Raw genomic sequence first — 15,999 nt, 5'->3', positions numbered from 1 at the left:
GAAGGAAATAGAGACACAAAAAACCCTTCAAAAAATTAATGAATCCAGGAGCTGGTTTTTAGAAAGTTTTTTTTTTCTGTAAAAATATGAGTGACAGTGTCCAGATTCTTTACATGTTGGGGCTGACATGTTATATTTTTCTTTTTCTTTTTAAGGAAAAAGTTACATTTTAAATCTTTGACTTCTTTTATGCAGTATGTTGGAGCTCTGTTTTATGACCTGTCATGATAAAAATGTATTATTAGCCCATTGTCCAGTTATGAACAATTCCTTGCTAGCTGTTTTGTATGCTTCATTCTATTTTCACAAAAGTCTCGTTATTGAAATAGTTAAGTTTATGCTAAATTGGGAGTAAAAGTGATGAAATATTTGAGGATGCATTTCCTAAAAAGGATGAAATAGAATTTAAATAGTCAAATGACTGCACCAAATCTAATGAGGTATTTCTATCTAATGGAAGAATAAAACATTGTATGTATTTCTTTCATGCTGTTTGCTTTGCTAAGTGCTTTTCATGCATTTTCTTATTTAATACTAAAATGTCCTTGAGTTGTAAACTCTTATTAGCTCATTGTATAGAAGATTATTATCTCTAAATCAGCTAATTGAATATTTAGAGGAAATTTCAGTGAGATTTATGACATTTGCTCTCCAACAACCCTTCAACAATCTAGTTGTTTAAAAGTCGATTTGGCTATTAAAAACAAATATAACAAACCATGAATCTTCATATGGGTTGTTTAAACATGTAGAGAATATATATATATATATGTGTGTGTGTGTGTGTGTGTGTGTGTGTATGCTTTGGGGGATATAGATTTGGGAGATTCAATTACAGGTTATAACTGAGATCATGGGAATGCAGGAAATCAAGTTGTGTAGAGATTGCAGAGTGAGAAAATGTGTTAGGTTTGGAATCCTCAGATGTGCCTACATTAAACATGAAATTTCTATAGACCTCTTGCAGTGAAAGGCCTAGGATTGGGATTAAAAAAAATATTAAAGAAACAAGAGTCTCCACCTCTATCAAACATGTGTGACTTGAGTCAGAAAAGAGGAATTTTTATAAAGGACAAAGTTAGGAACATCATACTATCATTTTGAGGTTCACCAATGATTTGTATTTATCATTTAAGAAAATAATGCCATTTATCTTACTTTCATCCAAAACATGCAAAATAAATTATGCCATATATTCTGCATTGAACACATTTCTTGATTCAATTCAGTAGGCATAGTACTAATTTCCATTTTCTTAAAATTAGAAAAAAATAGATAGTTTCATCTGATCAGGCTTGGATATTCCTAAAGGGGATGAGTGGTATCTCTATATCCCTTCCATCACTAGTCTTTATACCTCCATTCTCCAACTTTCACCATTTGATTATGGCAGCCAATATTACAGAGTATGTATTACATGGCCAGTTCTTGTCTTATGAACAAAACAGATAATGAAAGTTGCCCATGAAAAAGTTGTACTTTATCAATTATCTTTAATTAATCATGGGCAGGGAAAATATTCAGAAGAGGCTGAGAGATGAGCAGGGTAGGGCCAATGTCCATGGCAGCCTTGTTCAAATTTAGGTCCTGTTCTTATAAATTGAATGCCAATTAGGAATGTTTAAGGAATGCCATTTGTTCCAGAGACTTAGTGACACCTCAAGAAAAATCTGGTCATTTTCCTAAATGCTCAGTGCAATGATCTAAATTCCTGTAAAATGTTTCACTAGACTGTGTCCTGAAAAGGCTCTTGAATATTCTAACATATTACAACACTAGATAGGCTTTGACGTTCCTTTAGGAGTGGAAAAAATTATAATACTCATTTTCTGGTTAAGCAAAAAGAAAACAAAATTTATTTATGGGAGTGAATTGAAGATAAAATTGTTAAGCAAAATGGAACCATATACATATACATATACATATAAGTGTGTGTGTGTGTGTGTATGGAGAGAGAAAAAGGGAGGAAATGTTTGTATTTGTACATATATGTGTGTGTGTGTTTGTGTGTGTGTGTATGGAGAAAAAAGGGAGGAAATGTTTGTGTTTGTATATACATATGTGTGTGTATATATGTGTATGTGTTTGTGTATATATGCGTATGTGTTTGTGTGTGTGTATGGAGAGAGAAAGGGAGGAAATGTTTGTGTTTGTATATGTGTGTGTGTGTACTTATATGTGTTGTATATATGTATGTGTGTGTGCGTGCATATGGAGAAAGAGAGAGAAAGGGAGGAAATGTTTGTGTCTATGTCCCCTTCAAAATCCATATGTTGGTTGAGGTCCAAATCCTCAGTACCCCAGTGTGATAATATTTGGAGGTAGGGCCTTTGGGAGGTGATTAGGGTTAGATGGGATCATGAAAGTGGAGCCTCCCTCATGGGATTAGTACCTTTACGAGGGGATAAAGAGATCAGAGCTCCTCTCTCTCTCTCTCTCTGTCTGCTATGTGAGGCTAGAGCAAAAGGCAGCTGTCTGCAAACCTGAAAGAGGGCACTCACCAGAACCGTATCATGTTGGTGCCCTGATCTCAGACCTCCAGCCTTCAGAAGTGTGAGAAATAAATTTCTATTGTATAAGCCAACAGTCTATGGCATTTTTTGTTACTGCAGCCCAAATTGATTAAAACAGAAATTGGTATCAGATGAGAGTTCTGCTGTAACAAATATCTAAAAATGTGGAAGCAGCTTTGGAACTGGGTAATGGGTGGAGGCTGGAAAAGTTTTAAGGCCCATGCTAGAAAAAGCTGATGCGGCTCTGAAGGGATTGCTAAAGGCAATTCTGGTGAGAGCTAAGGAAGAAAAGAAGGCTGCAGATAAAACGTCCCTCTTCTTAGAGATAAAATGTAATCATGTGTAGGATGTTGATAGAAATATTGTTAATAAACAATCTTCTGATGAGTTCTCAGGAAGAAAATGAAGAACACGTTATAAAGGGGATCTTTGTTACAAAGTGGCAAAGAAATTTGCTGGGTTGTGTTCATGTTCTAATGTTTTGTGGAAGGTAGAACTTCTGAGTGTTGGAATTGGATATTTAGCTGAGTGGATTTCTAAGAAAAGGATTGAAGGAGTGGCTTAGTTCCTCCTGACTGATTACAGTAAAATGCAAGAAGACAGAAATAAAGATTGAATTGTTAACCAAAAGGAACCAGATTTTGAAGATTTGGAAATTCTAAACCTGTACATATTACAAAAATAAAAAAGCATGTCAGGAAGAGAGCACTCGAGGTGGGGCAAGCTGAGTATTTGACACGAGATTAGTGTGGATATGAGCCCTGGACCTAGTCAACCACACTACCAGGACAATTGCCAGTTTTTAGCTGAAGGGGACAGAAATGGAACAGAATGCAGGAAGACTGCTGAACTTGCAATCACAGAATAGGGCTATAGAGCGGTTTAGCTGCCAATGTGCACTGTACGTCAAGCAAAGGAAAGAATGACCCAAATAGTAATTCAGAGATGACCAGGGCTGCCTCTTCAGTTTTAAAAGAGGGGGGATATTACCTGGGTCTTAAGAAACAAAATAGCCTACACCCAATGCTGTGGAGATTAGGTCACCTGCAGCCTAGGGTCAGGGCCACCACACATCGGAGTCCTGGGGGCATGGCCCCTGCCCAGCAGAGCTGTGCAGACAAGTGTGCTGCCCCAGTGGACCAAAAGTTGGGCCTCTACTTCACCAGGTCCTGCTTGGTACCCATCACTCCATTTTTGTCTCCTGTTTGTCCCTTTTGGAAGGGCAGTATCCATGCTATGTCTGTTCCACCATTGTGTTTTGTAAGCACGTAGCTTATTTGGTTTCACATGTTCATAGTTGGAAAGAAATTTCGCCTAGGATAAATTCTACCTCATGTCTCACCTAAATCTGACTTAGAGGTTATGTAGTTGAAGCTTTGGACTTTGGAATTTAGAGTTTCTGATACAACAAGTTCAGATTTTTAAAGCAGTTGAGATGAAATGAATATATTTTGCATGTGAGAAGATGTAAAATTTGGAGGGACAGGGAGAAATGCTATAAACTGAAGGACTGTGTCGCCCTAGAATACAGATGTTGAAGCTCTAATCCCCAATGTACTGGCATTTGGAAATGCAGCCTTTAGGAGGTAATTAGGTTTAGATGAGGGCATAAGACTGGAGCCAAGCCCCCATGATGGGATCAGTGCATTTGGAAGGCAATGAAGAGATCAGAGCTCTCTCTCTTTCTCTCTACTGTGTAAGGTTACAGAAAAAGGCACCCCTTTGCAAGCCAGAAAGAAGGCCCTCGACAGAACCTGACCATACTGGTGCCCTAATCTTGGATTTCTGGCCTCTAGAATTGTGGAAAATAAATTCATGTTTTTGTTATAGCAGCCCAAACTGGCAAAGATTGTGCATGCGTGTGTGTGTGTGTGTGTGTGTGTGTGTGTGTGTGTGTGTGTTGGGTATGTCTCCCTAACCCAATCTAGTCTCTCTCAATTTGTGTTTATATAGATACATCTCCATGATCTGTCGAAATCACAAGGGCTGACCCAGTTAATGGCACTAAAGGCTCTTCATGACCTGGTTCCTCCCAAACCCTTGAATGCCAGCTGCACCACTTATTGCCGTGCTGGGCTCCACTGATCCAATCTGCTGTTGACCTTAACATCCGATGCTCGGTGCTTTCATCACTCTGTCTCCACTGTCTGTAATATATCACCTCTTTCAAAACCTTGATAACTTCCTGTCACACTCTATTTTCCTATAACGCATGCTCATTACAGACTCATCAGTGAAGGTATATTACAGCCCATGATAACTTCCTATCACACTCTATTTTTCTATAACGCATGCTCATTACAGACTCATGGGTGGAGGTGTATTATAGCCCACCTGAGCAGGTCATTAAAGCCGCATATTTAAACAGTGAACAGCAGACCTCTTTGCTCCTAGAAGTAAACTTTTCATATTTCCCTTTTCAACTTGGAATATATATGATAATCAGGTACAGGGATTCTTTGCCTTTTAGCTTCCTCCAATATCCTTTCCCTCTATCTTTAAAATTTCTATTTTTCTCTTACGCAGTGCATTTTAACTATCTCTTAATCTAATACAGGTTCCAAATGATACTTAGGAAGCCTCATAGTCATAACAAAATGCATCAGTGATAGAATGATTTTTAAAATATCAGTTATTTTCTTAGATATATTCACAAGTCACTTCCCTTTTTTTTTAAGACATGGGAAAATATACTATTTTATCTCCCAGGATGATAGAATTTACTAAACTACCTAGTGACGATTACAGATAAAGCTAACTGATCACATAATTCTTATTTCAAAGATTCGTGTAAGAAAGGCCTTATCAAACCAGCGAATTAAAAAGTGTGCAGTATTACTTCAGAAATGGTAACCTTGACATGAAAACTGGATGTGTTCATAGATCATACATTTTACAAAAATAAAACAAAAAAATTAAATGACATCAAAAAACAAAACATTTAAAAACAGAAAGAAAGCCAAAGGGGCCCAAGGAAGAAACAAAAACAAAACAGGACTCAGTGGAAGATACTCAATAGAAGATAACAGTCTCATCTTTTATTCTCATTTTTGGAAGAAACTTTGGGAGGTGGGTTTGATTTCTCTCTTTGCCACTTGAGCCACTTGCAGAGCCATTAAAACTATGGTCTAGTCTAAGGATAATCAGTTCTCAATGAACTTTTGCAAATATTTTATATGTAAAGCATATAGTCATTTTTTCAGGGTTGAAGTTTGGGAATATTTCTGAGTATGTCTGCATAGAATATTTGTTTTTAATTTTAATGATAATTACAATAAACTAACCAAAAAGGATTATTTCTATTTAATTTAAAGTTGTGTGTATAGAAGTGTGTCCATGTGTGTGAAGAGAGAAAGAGATACCATTAAGATGTTTTAAAAACTACACAGCAGTCTGTGAGCTTCTATCAGTCTTGTGCAGCACTTAGCTTCTTCAAAAATGCCAAAGATGAGGTAGAAAATCCACCCCTATGTCCATTCCATTCTAAGCATAATAGGTATTCTAAACTTCTGCCATCATTCTTTAAGGCAACATTCAGTGGGAATACCTGTATGTTGTCATTCTTTAAGCATTTGGTAGCACATTAGTTATGCTAGCTTGTAAGTTATAGTAACTTTCGTCATTTTAGTTCTAATCAAGTAAAAAGGTCAGTAAGTATTTAAAAATAACTTTTCAAATAGAGATAATTACCCCATCGTAAGCGTCCATATTTAGAGAAACAACCTCAATTCCACAATATGTGAGGAAAGCCTACTATGAATGAAGCCCCAGGCATTTTTAATACAAAAATGATTTGACAATACAAAAACATATTGCTCTGGACTAAAGGACTATATTTTGTGTCACTGAGTAGTTTCCTCGCCAACCATCAAACTTCAACTTAATTTATGTAGTAATAATATCTACATAATATCAGTATTTACATAAACTTTTAATCATTTGTATGAAGATACATACATGACCAGGCATGATTCACAGACACGCATGTGCCGATGCATGAGTCACCAACACGCGTGTGCCGATGCCTGAGTCACCAACACATGTGTGCTGATCTATCTGCATTCTGTCACCCAGTGTCTCCTCAGTGAAGTCAGCCAAGTGAGTAGAAAGGGGAATGTCACGTGTGACTGGAGAACAGGGTGAAACTAATTGGTCCCACGTGATGAAACCGCAACCTCAGCTTTATCACCATGGTGACCTAACAAACGGAGTTACAGCCACAGCTGCTTTGGTAAATACTGACACACTCATGCTCATCGATAGTTATTTAGAGTCTATTTTAATAGAAAGCAACACTCTCTGTTATTACCTGCCAACCTCACAGAGTCTAAAGCTACTAACATTGTACAGACAATTCAAAACGTATTAAATTTTGCTCAGTATTCTGAGTAGTAAACATAAAACAAGATGAATAGAACCATCGCCTATATTCATAGTCAGTTTTATTATATACAATTTTTAATGTTAGTATATGCTCTTACGTTGTGCATTGATATTTGAAAACAATACATACTTGTAATGTTTGATTGTGGAAATAATAAAAAACATTAAAAGAAGAATGAATATACAATAACTATCCTTATCTATGAGAATATTCATGAATGGTGAAAAGAGAAAGGCATTGTTGAACTGATTTAGACAAGAGAAACACTTTGTAGATTATTAGAGAGCCTTGGAAGTTCCAGGGGACAAAACACGGGTCTCTCAATCATGGAAGCAGCAGAAGAGGCCTTTTAAAGAATATTAGACTCTCCAAGGTCAAGGTAAGTTCAGCCAGGCTATTAGCAATGGTGGACATGGTGGGATGGATTAGAATCTGGAAGATTACCAAATGAAACAATAATTTGTTTATGCTGAATATTATCCATGGCACAAAATCAACTTTATGGAAAAAGGAAAAAAGAAAAAGTCAGTGAAATAGAAACTGAAAAACAGAATTTGCACAGTCTTGCTTATTCTCATGGTGTGTGGAATTGAGGGCCTGATACAGCTGAACCTGGCCTCTTTCTGGATCAAACACTCTATGATGAAAATATAATAGACCGGTCCTTCCACTGGGGCCACAGTGGGGAAGTGGAAGGCTTGAGGCTGTCCTCAGTGCAAGCGAGCTCATTCTTATAAAAGTAACAGCATAGCACTGGTTCAACATGACTTTTGGTAAAACCTGATGATAACTTCCTCATTTTACTCCACAGACACAGAAAAGAGCTCACATTCTCTGGAAATCAGATAAACACAAAACAAAACATTAGAGTATTCCAATTCCCTTCTATATACAATGTTTTATACACCATTAAAAATTCAGAGGTGTGCAAAGTGACATGGGGCTCATGAACAAGAGGAAAAAAAAAGGACACTAACAGAATGTTCTTCTGGTTCCAGAATTCGAGCTAGCAAACAGAACTTTGAAGATAATTATTATAAAGATATTCAAGTATTTTTAGGGGGAAAAGGAAAGAACAAGTGAACAGATGAAGAATGAGAACAGAGAAAAGCAAGTTAGAAAAAGGAACCAAATGGAAATTCTAGATCACAAAGTTATAACATCTGAACTCCAAAAAATACATTGGATAGGCCGGACCACAGAATGGAGAATGCTGAAGAAAGATGATTAAATTTGAAAGTCTATCTGTAGAAACTATGTAAATTAAAGCTTAGAAAATAAAGATGAATAAAAACTGAGCTGTGTGCCAGTGTCAAGAGGCCCAACAGGCATGTAATCAGGTCGTCAGGAGAGAGTAGGGAAGAGAAAACCATCTGAAGAAAGAAAAGTGGAAATGTCACAAATCTGATGAAAAGCAACGGACAGGTACAAGACACTGAAGCCCCAAGGGGATAGATGCAAAAAAATCCACACCTATGCACATCATAAACTGTGAATACACTATCTTTCCTCCACTTTCTCCTCCACCTGGGTAAAAGTTATTCTAAATGTTGCATAAATCATTCCTGCTTTTTAAATAACTTTGCTGTATATATGATTTCTGGGTAATTCATTATTCAGTTGGTTTTTGACTAACAAATAAATGTAGATATACTATACACATTCTTCTGGAACTTGTTTTTTACTCATTTGGTTTTTGAGAAACATCTGAGATAAGTACACCTATAGTTCACTAACTTTCCTTCACATTTAATGTTCCATTTTATGACTGCCCCTTTTAACCATGTCATTTGTGATAGTTCCACATTTCTGCTCTTGCTGACATTGCTTTGCACATTTTTGTGTTTCTGGCAACAAGAACAATAATTCTTCTCAGGCAGCATTTTTCAAATTAAGAGTTTGATCCATTAGTGGATCATTAAATACATTTAATAGGTGGTGAAAATATTATTTAATTCAATAAATAAAATTCAGTGGAAGAGAAGGGAAGGGAAGACAGCAGAGAAAAGAGGAGAGGGGAGGAAAAAGAAAACAATAAAAATCAGATTGCATTGCACAAAGTAAGCAAAATTAATGTTTTGTGAAACTTTTATATAACTGTGTTTTGTCTTATGATATTAAATGTTTTCTGTTTTTTATCATTAAAAAAAGGTTGAAAGCTGTGAGTTGAATTTATATACTTTGGAGTGGGATTTCTAGCTTTCAGTAATGCCAATTTAGTTAAATAAACTAATTTGGTTAGATAATGCAAGTGACTTTGCTATGTAATGGTATCAATTTACACCCATAAGAGGTGTGTCTCAGAGCTTGCTTTGTCTAGGTTCTCAACAACTATCTTGTAGTTACAATAATAAAGCACTCTAATAATAACAATAACTATTTTTTACTAACTTCCAGAAATTTTCATGAGTGAGTTCACCTCTTTGGGTCTGTTTCTTCATCTGCAATAAGTAAAGTCTGCAATATGAGAATTTCTAAAGTCCCCGTGTAAAGTGTTTTGATTACAGAACACTTGTAAAAGAATCATATTGTCATTCTCAGGAAACAGCAGATGTGACTACTGGAGAGAAGGGCTATTGTGGTTTCATTGTTGTAACCATCACATAGTAGTCATTCAATTTGCCTGGATTAAATGAATGATTATGTGCTTTCCACTTGGTAAATATTTAACATATAAACATAGTCCTTTCCCTGGCAGTGGGAAAGGTGCCAGCTGAGCTTATCATTATCCTTGATCTGATTCAGTAACAAAGGTTTGTAAAACTTGCCAGTTATACATATGTTGGGTACTTACTGAATGCAGCATAATTCACTAAAATAAGCAACTAGTAGTTTCTTGTGACCATTGAACAATTCAAGTGACTTGAAAAATACCGATTTTCCACCAACTGCCAGATTGCTTAGGATTTCACCATGAAGATTTGGCTTGAATACAGATGAGTGGATAAATCTAGAAACACATTTATGAATGGAAAACAGAAGGATTATGATTGTGAAGCGAGGAGAAGGCTCATCACCTTGCTCCAGTGCCTGGCTAGGCTGTGTTACGCGTGCTGTCCACGATGCAACTGGAGCGGGCAGTGCCTCTCTCCCAAGCATCCTCACCCCCAGAGCTCTGTGTTCCGCAATGATGGGCCCTCTCTTTGTTCTCCACCTTCAAAGTGATTCACTCAGCTATATCCTAAAAGTACAAAGTCACCCAGCTCTGTCTAAAAATGCTTGAGGCTTGAACCGCCTGTTGGAATGCTCACTTTATTTGTGAGAGATCACGTTTATTGAGCATTCTCCTGTGCCATTATAAACCAACCAAGGAATCAAGAAACCATCCGTGAGTGAGGGTCAGAGCCTTGTCAGGAGCCGTTTCTGGAAGATGTGAGGGTGGCAACGTTGCATTTGCCAATGATAGTTTCTGTTCAGATGGCAACTTTGCCTCAGTATAATCCCAAATGACATGTCCAATTTCCCTTTCTCAACTCTTGAGTTTTTCCAGGGAGAAAATGTGGTTTTGCCCTTCTTTTAGAAAATTGATGTTTCTGTGCTTTTGCTTTGCTAGTGCATCTGAAAACATATGGACACTTCTGGCTAAAAAAAGAAAAGAAAGTCTTTTCTGATTCATTTGGCTGAAACATGAATTTTCCAAATTCAGTAAAAAACCCTTTTATGAGACACTTTCATCTACCATAGATTCCATTAGACCACGGAGCAGATCTTCTCCCGGGACACACAGTCATGCTGTCATCACAATTCCCAGTGTTCCGGAATGCTAGACACTTCCTGACCTTTACGTCTGATACATTCTTTGAGAGAACTTCTCCACCGACCCCGTCACCTGGATTGGATCACCGACCTCTCCCAAGAGGGGCCTGGCTTCCTCCTCGCTGGGGAAACGGTAGGGAGCTCCCCTAGGTAAAGCCTCTAGGGAGAGTGGCCAGGAGCCGGGTCAGGAAAGGCTCTGGTGCCCAAAGGGCTGCCCGCAGAGGCTGAGGTCCCTGCAAGTGCACAGGGAGGAGAGGTGAGATCAGATTCCAGCCGAGTCAGGCTTCCATGTCAGACTGCGTGTGTTTATGCAGAGGTGCAACTCAGGAATTACTGAGGAGAAAGTACAGGGCCAATTTAACCTCCTCTGAGAGACCTCTAACCCTGCTCATCACCACTCCTCGCTAAAAAGGGCCCTCTCCAGGGAAGAACCCAGAGGGAGAGCGGGAATTCTCCTCCCCTTGGAGGAAGAGTGCTTCCTCTACCCTTAATGTATCAACTGACAACAATTCAAACAGAAGGAAACTAGGATGTGACAAATAAAGGAAGCCTTTTCATGCTCTATGTCCACTGGCGTCGGGCAAGCCCCGGTGGAAGTCCAAGGAAAAGAGTCTAAGACCCAAACAGATGGTTTGCGCCAAAGTTCTGAAGTGTATCAGACGTGAATAAAGGTATGTTAATTCTAAAAGGAACTAAAATAGAAACATGATGTGGTTTAGACTCAGGTATTAAAAAATGAGCCATCTCAGAAGTGGAGACCAACTGAATATCTTCCTGTATAACTTCTTCTATAACTCTTCCATGCCTCTATGTTTGGTTGACTTTCACCAGTTTTCCCAGTCTCCAATGAACCTGATTCTATAGGCAGTTACTCTGTGTTCTTTTTGATGGGATTCTAAGAAGTGAAGAACAGCATAGGAACCAATTTGCTGTGTAAAATCAGAGAGAGCTCGACTCACTGTGGGTCAGAAACAAAGGGAGACTCTCCATTGAAAACAGGCTCCCTGAAAGCAGACATCAGCTATAAACTGGTTAGGAATTTATTATGAATTTCCTTTGCATTCTGAAGCAGAAGGCTTAAAATTAGGCTCTAAGTCGGAACCCACAGTACCATTTCCCACAGTATGACAAGTTTATATGGGCAACACATATACTTTAGAGTAATTTGATCGTCCCAGGCACTATCTGGAGTGCTTTACACATGTAGCTGCTTAGTCGTGGCCCCTCATGGCCTGGCCCTCTGGGTTGGAATGATGAGTTGCCAGAGGGTGAAGTCACTTTTGGATCATCACGAACACTGAGAGTCGAAAGACAATGCCAGAGGGTGACGTCACTTCCGGTTCATCACGAACACATGGAGAGTCGGAAGATGACCCTGGGCTTGTCTTCACATTTTCCGTGTTGTCACTTGCCGGTCCTTTGGAAGCCGACCCTAGATGTACACTGTCTTGCCGGGACCTTTCTCTTCTCTTCCCCTGTGACCACGCAGGTCTTCGATTCCCTGCCCCCTGCCCGAGGACCTGCCTCCTCCCTGCCCGAGGACCAAGCTTCAGAAGAACTGCACATGGGAGGAAATACCAACCGCTTAACTTCTTCAGAGACAACCTCTAACCCGGCTCACCACCACGCTAGCTAAAAAAGGGCCCTCTCCCAGGGAAGATCCCGGAGGAAGAGTGGGAATTCACCCTCCCCTTGGGGGAGGAGTGCTTTCTCTACCCTTAATTTATGAACTGAGAAAAATCCTAACAAGCCTACTATGAAATAAAGATGCCCTTAACCCATTTATGCCTAGTGTTCCATTATTGGAACGCTAAGCTTGTGGGAGTTATTTATATCCTACTGCTCAAAACCATTGCCAAGGTCTGATTTTTCACACAAAAAAATTTGCAACCTTCGGTATAAATGGGTTAATTCCAAAGCCTAAAGCAACCTAAGACATCTCAGTCCACAGTGAGCCCAGCCTCCAGCTGCAGGTGTTGGCTTCCACACAGCGCAGGACCAAGCAGTTTTGTGCTGAGTCCATCTCTGTGGCCACCGGCCACCCGGTGCTGGGGCTGGTCCCCAGCTCATCTGCACAGGGTTGGTGGAAGGGGCCAGAGGCAGCCTGGGCTCTGAATTCCACCCAGACCTGGGGAATAGGCCTGGTAGGGGAGTGAATGCCAGGGCCGCTGGTGGCCTTGGCTCTTCTGCACGGCAGCAACTGTGGTGGCCTGAGAATAAGGAGTTACCATAAGGACGTAGAGGTAGATCACCAGAGCCGCATCCACACCCAGAGATAGACTCACACATCTGTGGTGTGTTCATTTCAACAAAGGTGCAGAGAAAATTCCATGGAGGAAAAACAATAGCCTATCAACAAATGGTGTTAGAACGATTGGATATCTCACGCAAAAAATTAACTTTTATCTGTATCTCATGTTATGTAAAAATGGAACCAAAATAGATTATAAACATAATGTAGAATATAAAAGAAATTATGGTAAAAATCATAGGAAAAAAATCTGTGCGACCTTAGTTAGGCAAAGATATTTTAAATTTGACAGCAAAAGTACAATCCATAAAAGAAAAGAAACTGATAAATTGGACATACTCAAAGTGAAGCACATATGCTAGTCAGAAGACACTACTGTTAAGAGAATAAAAAATATAAGCCACAGATCTGGAGAAAACATTTGCAAACCATATATCTGAAAAAAATGGCTTGTACTTCACATCTAAAAAGACTCAAAAGTCAATAATAGGAAAGAAGAGACAATTTAAAATGGGCAAAATAGTTAAAAAGACAGATCAGCCAAGAAGATATATGGATGAAAATTAAACACATTAAATACATCCGATGTCAATAACCCTGCTCCCTACCGGTTAGACAGCTGATGTCAGAAAGGCCGACCCCATCGCGCGTGCGCGAGCACAAGTGGGCAGGAACAGGAAATGCCACGAGGACGCTGAATCAAACCTGCCTACGTGAAGGGCTGAAGACGCGACATTTCCTGACAGAGGTTGCTATGTCTAGCAGCATGAGCCTCTCCATGAAGGCATGAGGGGAGAAGACCTCTTCTCTACCTTGTCCCAGGTCTTCCAGGATTGGTGTCTCCTTTGAGAAGCAGGACTGCTTTTATAAGTAAGAAAAATATTGGTTCTTCATTTTCAAAATAACGTCTCAGCTACGTGTCCAAGTGTGTCACATTGCAACAACTGCCCAGCTGTGGGGCTGGTCTTGGGGAGCAGAGGGGACTGAGGGGCCTGCCTCATTACGAGCTGCACAGGAGGGCTGAGCTTGCATTAGCAGCTTCTCCCTCCAGTGCAGGAGAACGCATTAAGATTTACGGTTCATCTGAAAGTAGCTTAGAAAGAAACCATATGCTCTTATCATCTCTTGCAGAAGTTGCAGACAAGTTATTTAAAAATCTCGTTTTCTTAAACTGTCTTTATTGCAAAGAAAAGAGCCTCTGGGATCCACTTCAAGTAGTCATTGTGGAGGGTACAGCAAGCCAGCCCTGGGCTAAGCATTTACCCCACTAATTCACCACCACAGCAAGGTGGAGATCCTTGAGTTTTTGCCTGTGTTTCACAAATGAGGAATCCGAGGAGCAGAGACCTGAAGTGACCTGTCCAGGACACAAGAGTGAACCCGGGGACAAAGCCAACCCGCTCTGCTGGGGCTAGTGCCTTTCCACACTCCTCTGTTTCTATATTTAAACCGAGTGAAAGGAGACATGGAAAATACATTAGCCCATTTGGAGGTGAATTTGATACACTCTCATTTGTCATAGAGGGTAGAAAAAGATGGAAAAGAGAAACGGGCTGGTGGGGAGGAGGGAAGAGCAGAGACCAGGGCCTCAGCCCAACCTCCATCCGCTTCCCACTTTCTCTCCCTGTCCCTTTCCTGGAGGCCTTGCTTGCTCCTCACAAAGCTGTCATTCTTATGCCTTGCATGAATTTGGGTATTTTAACTTGTCTATTAAAAATATAAATCTGGCCCCATATATATGCTTAATTAATATTATCATGTATCCCCTTCAAAATACTCTGTGGCCAAAGTTTGTGCCCTTTTATGCAGGATCGGGAATGGATTCCCTAATAAATGTCTTGCATTTTTCCCATCACAAAATGTAGTTAAATTAGCGTCTCTTCATCCTAATTTTATTTCTCCATTTGGACAAAGCATCTTCACTTCCAACAGCTGAGCTTTTCAAAGATATTTATTTCTGTGTAGAATTAAAAAAAATTGAATATTACCATTTCTGAAAATAAGTAACTCAAAACTTTCCTTTAAAATTATTGCAAAAGTTTCATAAATTCAGTTAGATATATGCTTAGGGAAAATACAGAGTTTGAAGGAATTTTTAAAAGACCACATATTCTATAATTCTGTTTATATGAAAGTTTTAGAACAGGCAAACCCATGGAGACATCGAGTAGATTGGTGGTGGCCAGGGACTGGTGGAGGGAGGTGGCAGGCAAGAGAATGGCTGCTGACGGGTATGGGGTTCCTTTCAGAGTAAAAATGTTCTAAAATTACCTTGTGGTTGTGGTTGCACAGCACTGAGACTATACTAACTGGCATGTACGGTTTATTAATTATATTTCAACAAAGCTATTAAAATATTCAGTTTCCAAAAATATATCAGTGCATGTAATTGCAATATGTTTAGATCTACCGGAATTTAATGAAATCTAGTAAGTAATGTCTAGTTAATACACTTCCATGGGGATTTGCATTTTATATGTGTTTAAGTTACTCTTCTGAATTTTTTTTTTTCCAGTTCTTATCAATGCTTCACAAGGTTGGAATTCCAGCTGTTAAACTTACTATAGGCCAGGTGCAGTGGCTCACGCCTGTAATACCAGCACTTTGGGAGGCCAAGGCGGTCAGATCACTTGAGGCCAGGAGTTTGAGACAAGCTTGAGCAACATGGCAAAACCCTATCTACACTAAAAATACGAAAAAATAATTAGCTAGGTGTGCTGGCATGTGCTTGTAGTCCCAGCTACTTGGGAGGCTGAGGCAGGAGAACCACTTGAACCCAGGAAGTAGAGGCTGTAGTGAGCTGAGATCACGCCAGTGCACTCCAGCCTGGGCAACAGGAATGAAACCCTGTTTGAAGAAAACAAAACAAACAAAATCCAAAAAACTTACTATGTAGCCTTGGGCAAAGTGACTTTTCAAAGCCTTGTATTCTTTATTCTCAAATAATACAACCAGCACCTCCCCCATTACACACATACACCGGTGTACACACACACACAGACACACACAACCAGCACATAATTCTTTTTTGCAAAGACTTCTTAGAAAGATAAAAAAGAGATAAGTACTAGTTTTTCATACATATGTATGCTATG

General features: G+C 39.4%; 2 long non-coding RNA genes across 5 annotated transcripts in view, besides 1 other annotated feature; one reads left to right on the top strand and one right to left on the bottom strand.

The window, feature by feature from the left end:
* Positions 1-10,668, bottom strand: part of LOC105378145 (uncharacterized) — a 59,736-nt gene extending 49,068 nt beyond the window's left edge. For both annotated transcript variants that reach the window (XR_943300.3, XR_943299.3), the window contains exons 1-2: positions 10,577-10,668; positions 9,692-9,847 (exon numbers count right to left, since the gene is read on the bottom strand). This is a non-coding gene — a long non-coding RNA (uncharacterized LOC105378145). The remainder of the gene's footprint in view (positions 1-9,691; positions 9,848-10,576) is intronic.
* Positions 10,662-15,999, top strand: part of LOC105378146 (uncharacterized) — a 36,642-nt gene continuing 31,304 nt past the window's right edge. The window contains exons 1-3 of one of the 3 annotated variants that reach the window (NR_136249.1): positions 10,662-10,786; positions 11,172-11,324; positions 12,143-14,759. This is a non-coding gene — a long non-coding RNA (uncharacterized LOC105378146). Of the gene's footprint in view, positions 11,325-12,142; positions 14,760-15,999 lie in introns of those variants that run through there. The other 2 variants (NR_136248.1, NR_136250.1) reach the window with 2 other exon arrangements.
* Positions 11,280-12,479: an enhancer, noted in NCBI's record as "BRD4-independent group 4 enhancer chr6:169362660-169363859 (GRCh37/hg19 assembly coordinates)". NCBI's record gives its function as "activates an origin of replication core promoter dependent on BRD2, P300/CBP, MED14 and CDK7 cofactors, and independent of BRD4, by STARR-seq in HCT116 cells {active_cell/tissue: HCT116}" and the evidence as "EXISTENCE:reporter gene assay evidence [ECO:0000049][PMID:35650434]".

The sequence above is a fragment of the Homo sapiens genome, chromosome 6, assembly GCF_000001405.40.
Source record: "Homo sapiens chromosome 6, GRCh38.p14 Primary Assembly".
In the NCBI taxonomy this organism is placed as follows: domain Eukaryota; kingdom Metazoa; phylum Chordata; class Mammalia; order Primates; family Hominidae; genus Homo; species Homo sapiens.
This window is presented reverse-complemented; position numbering and strand designations above follow the sequence as displayed.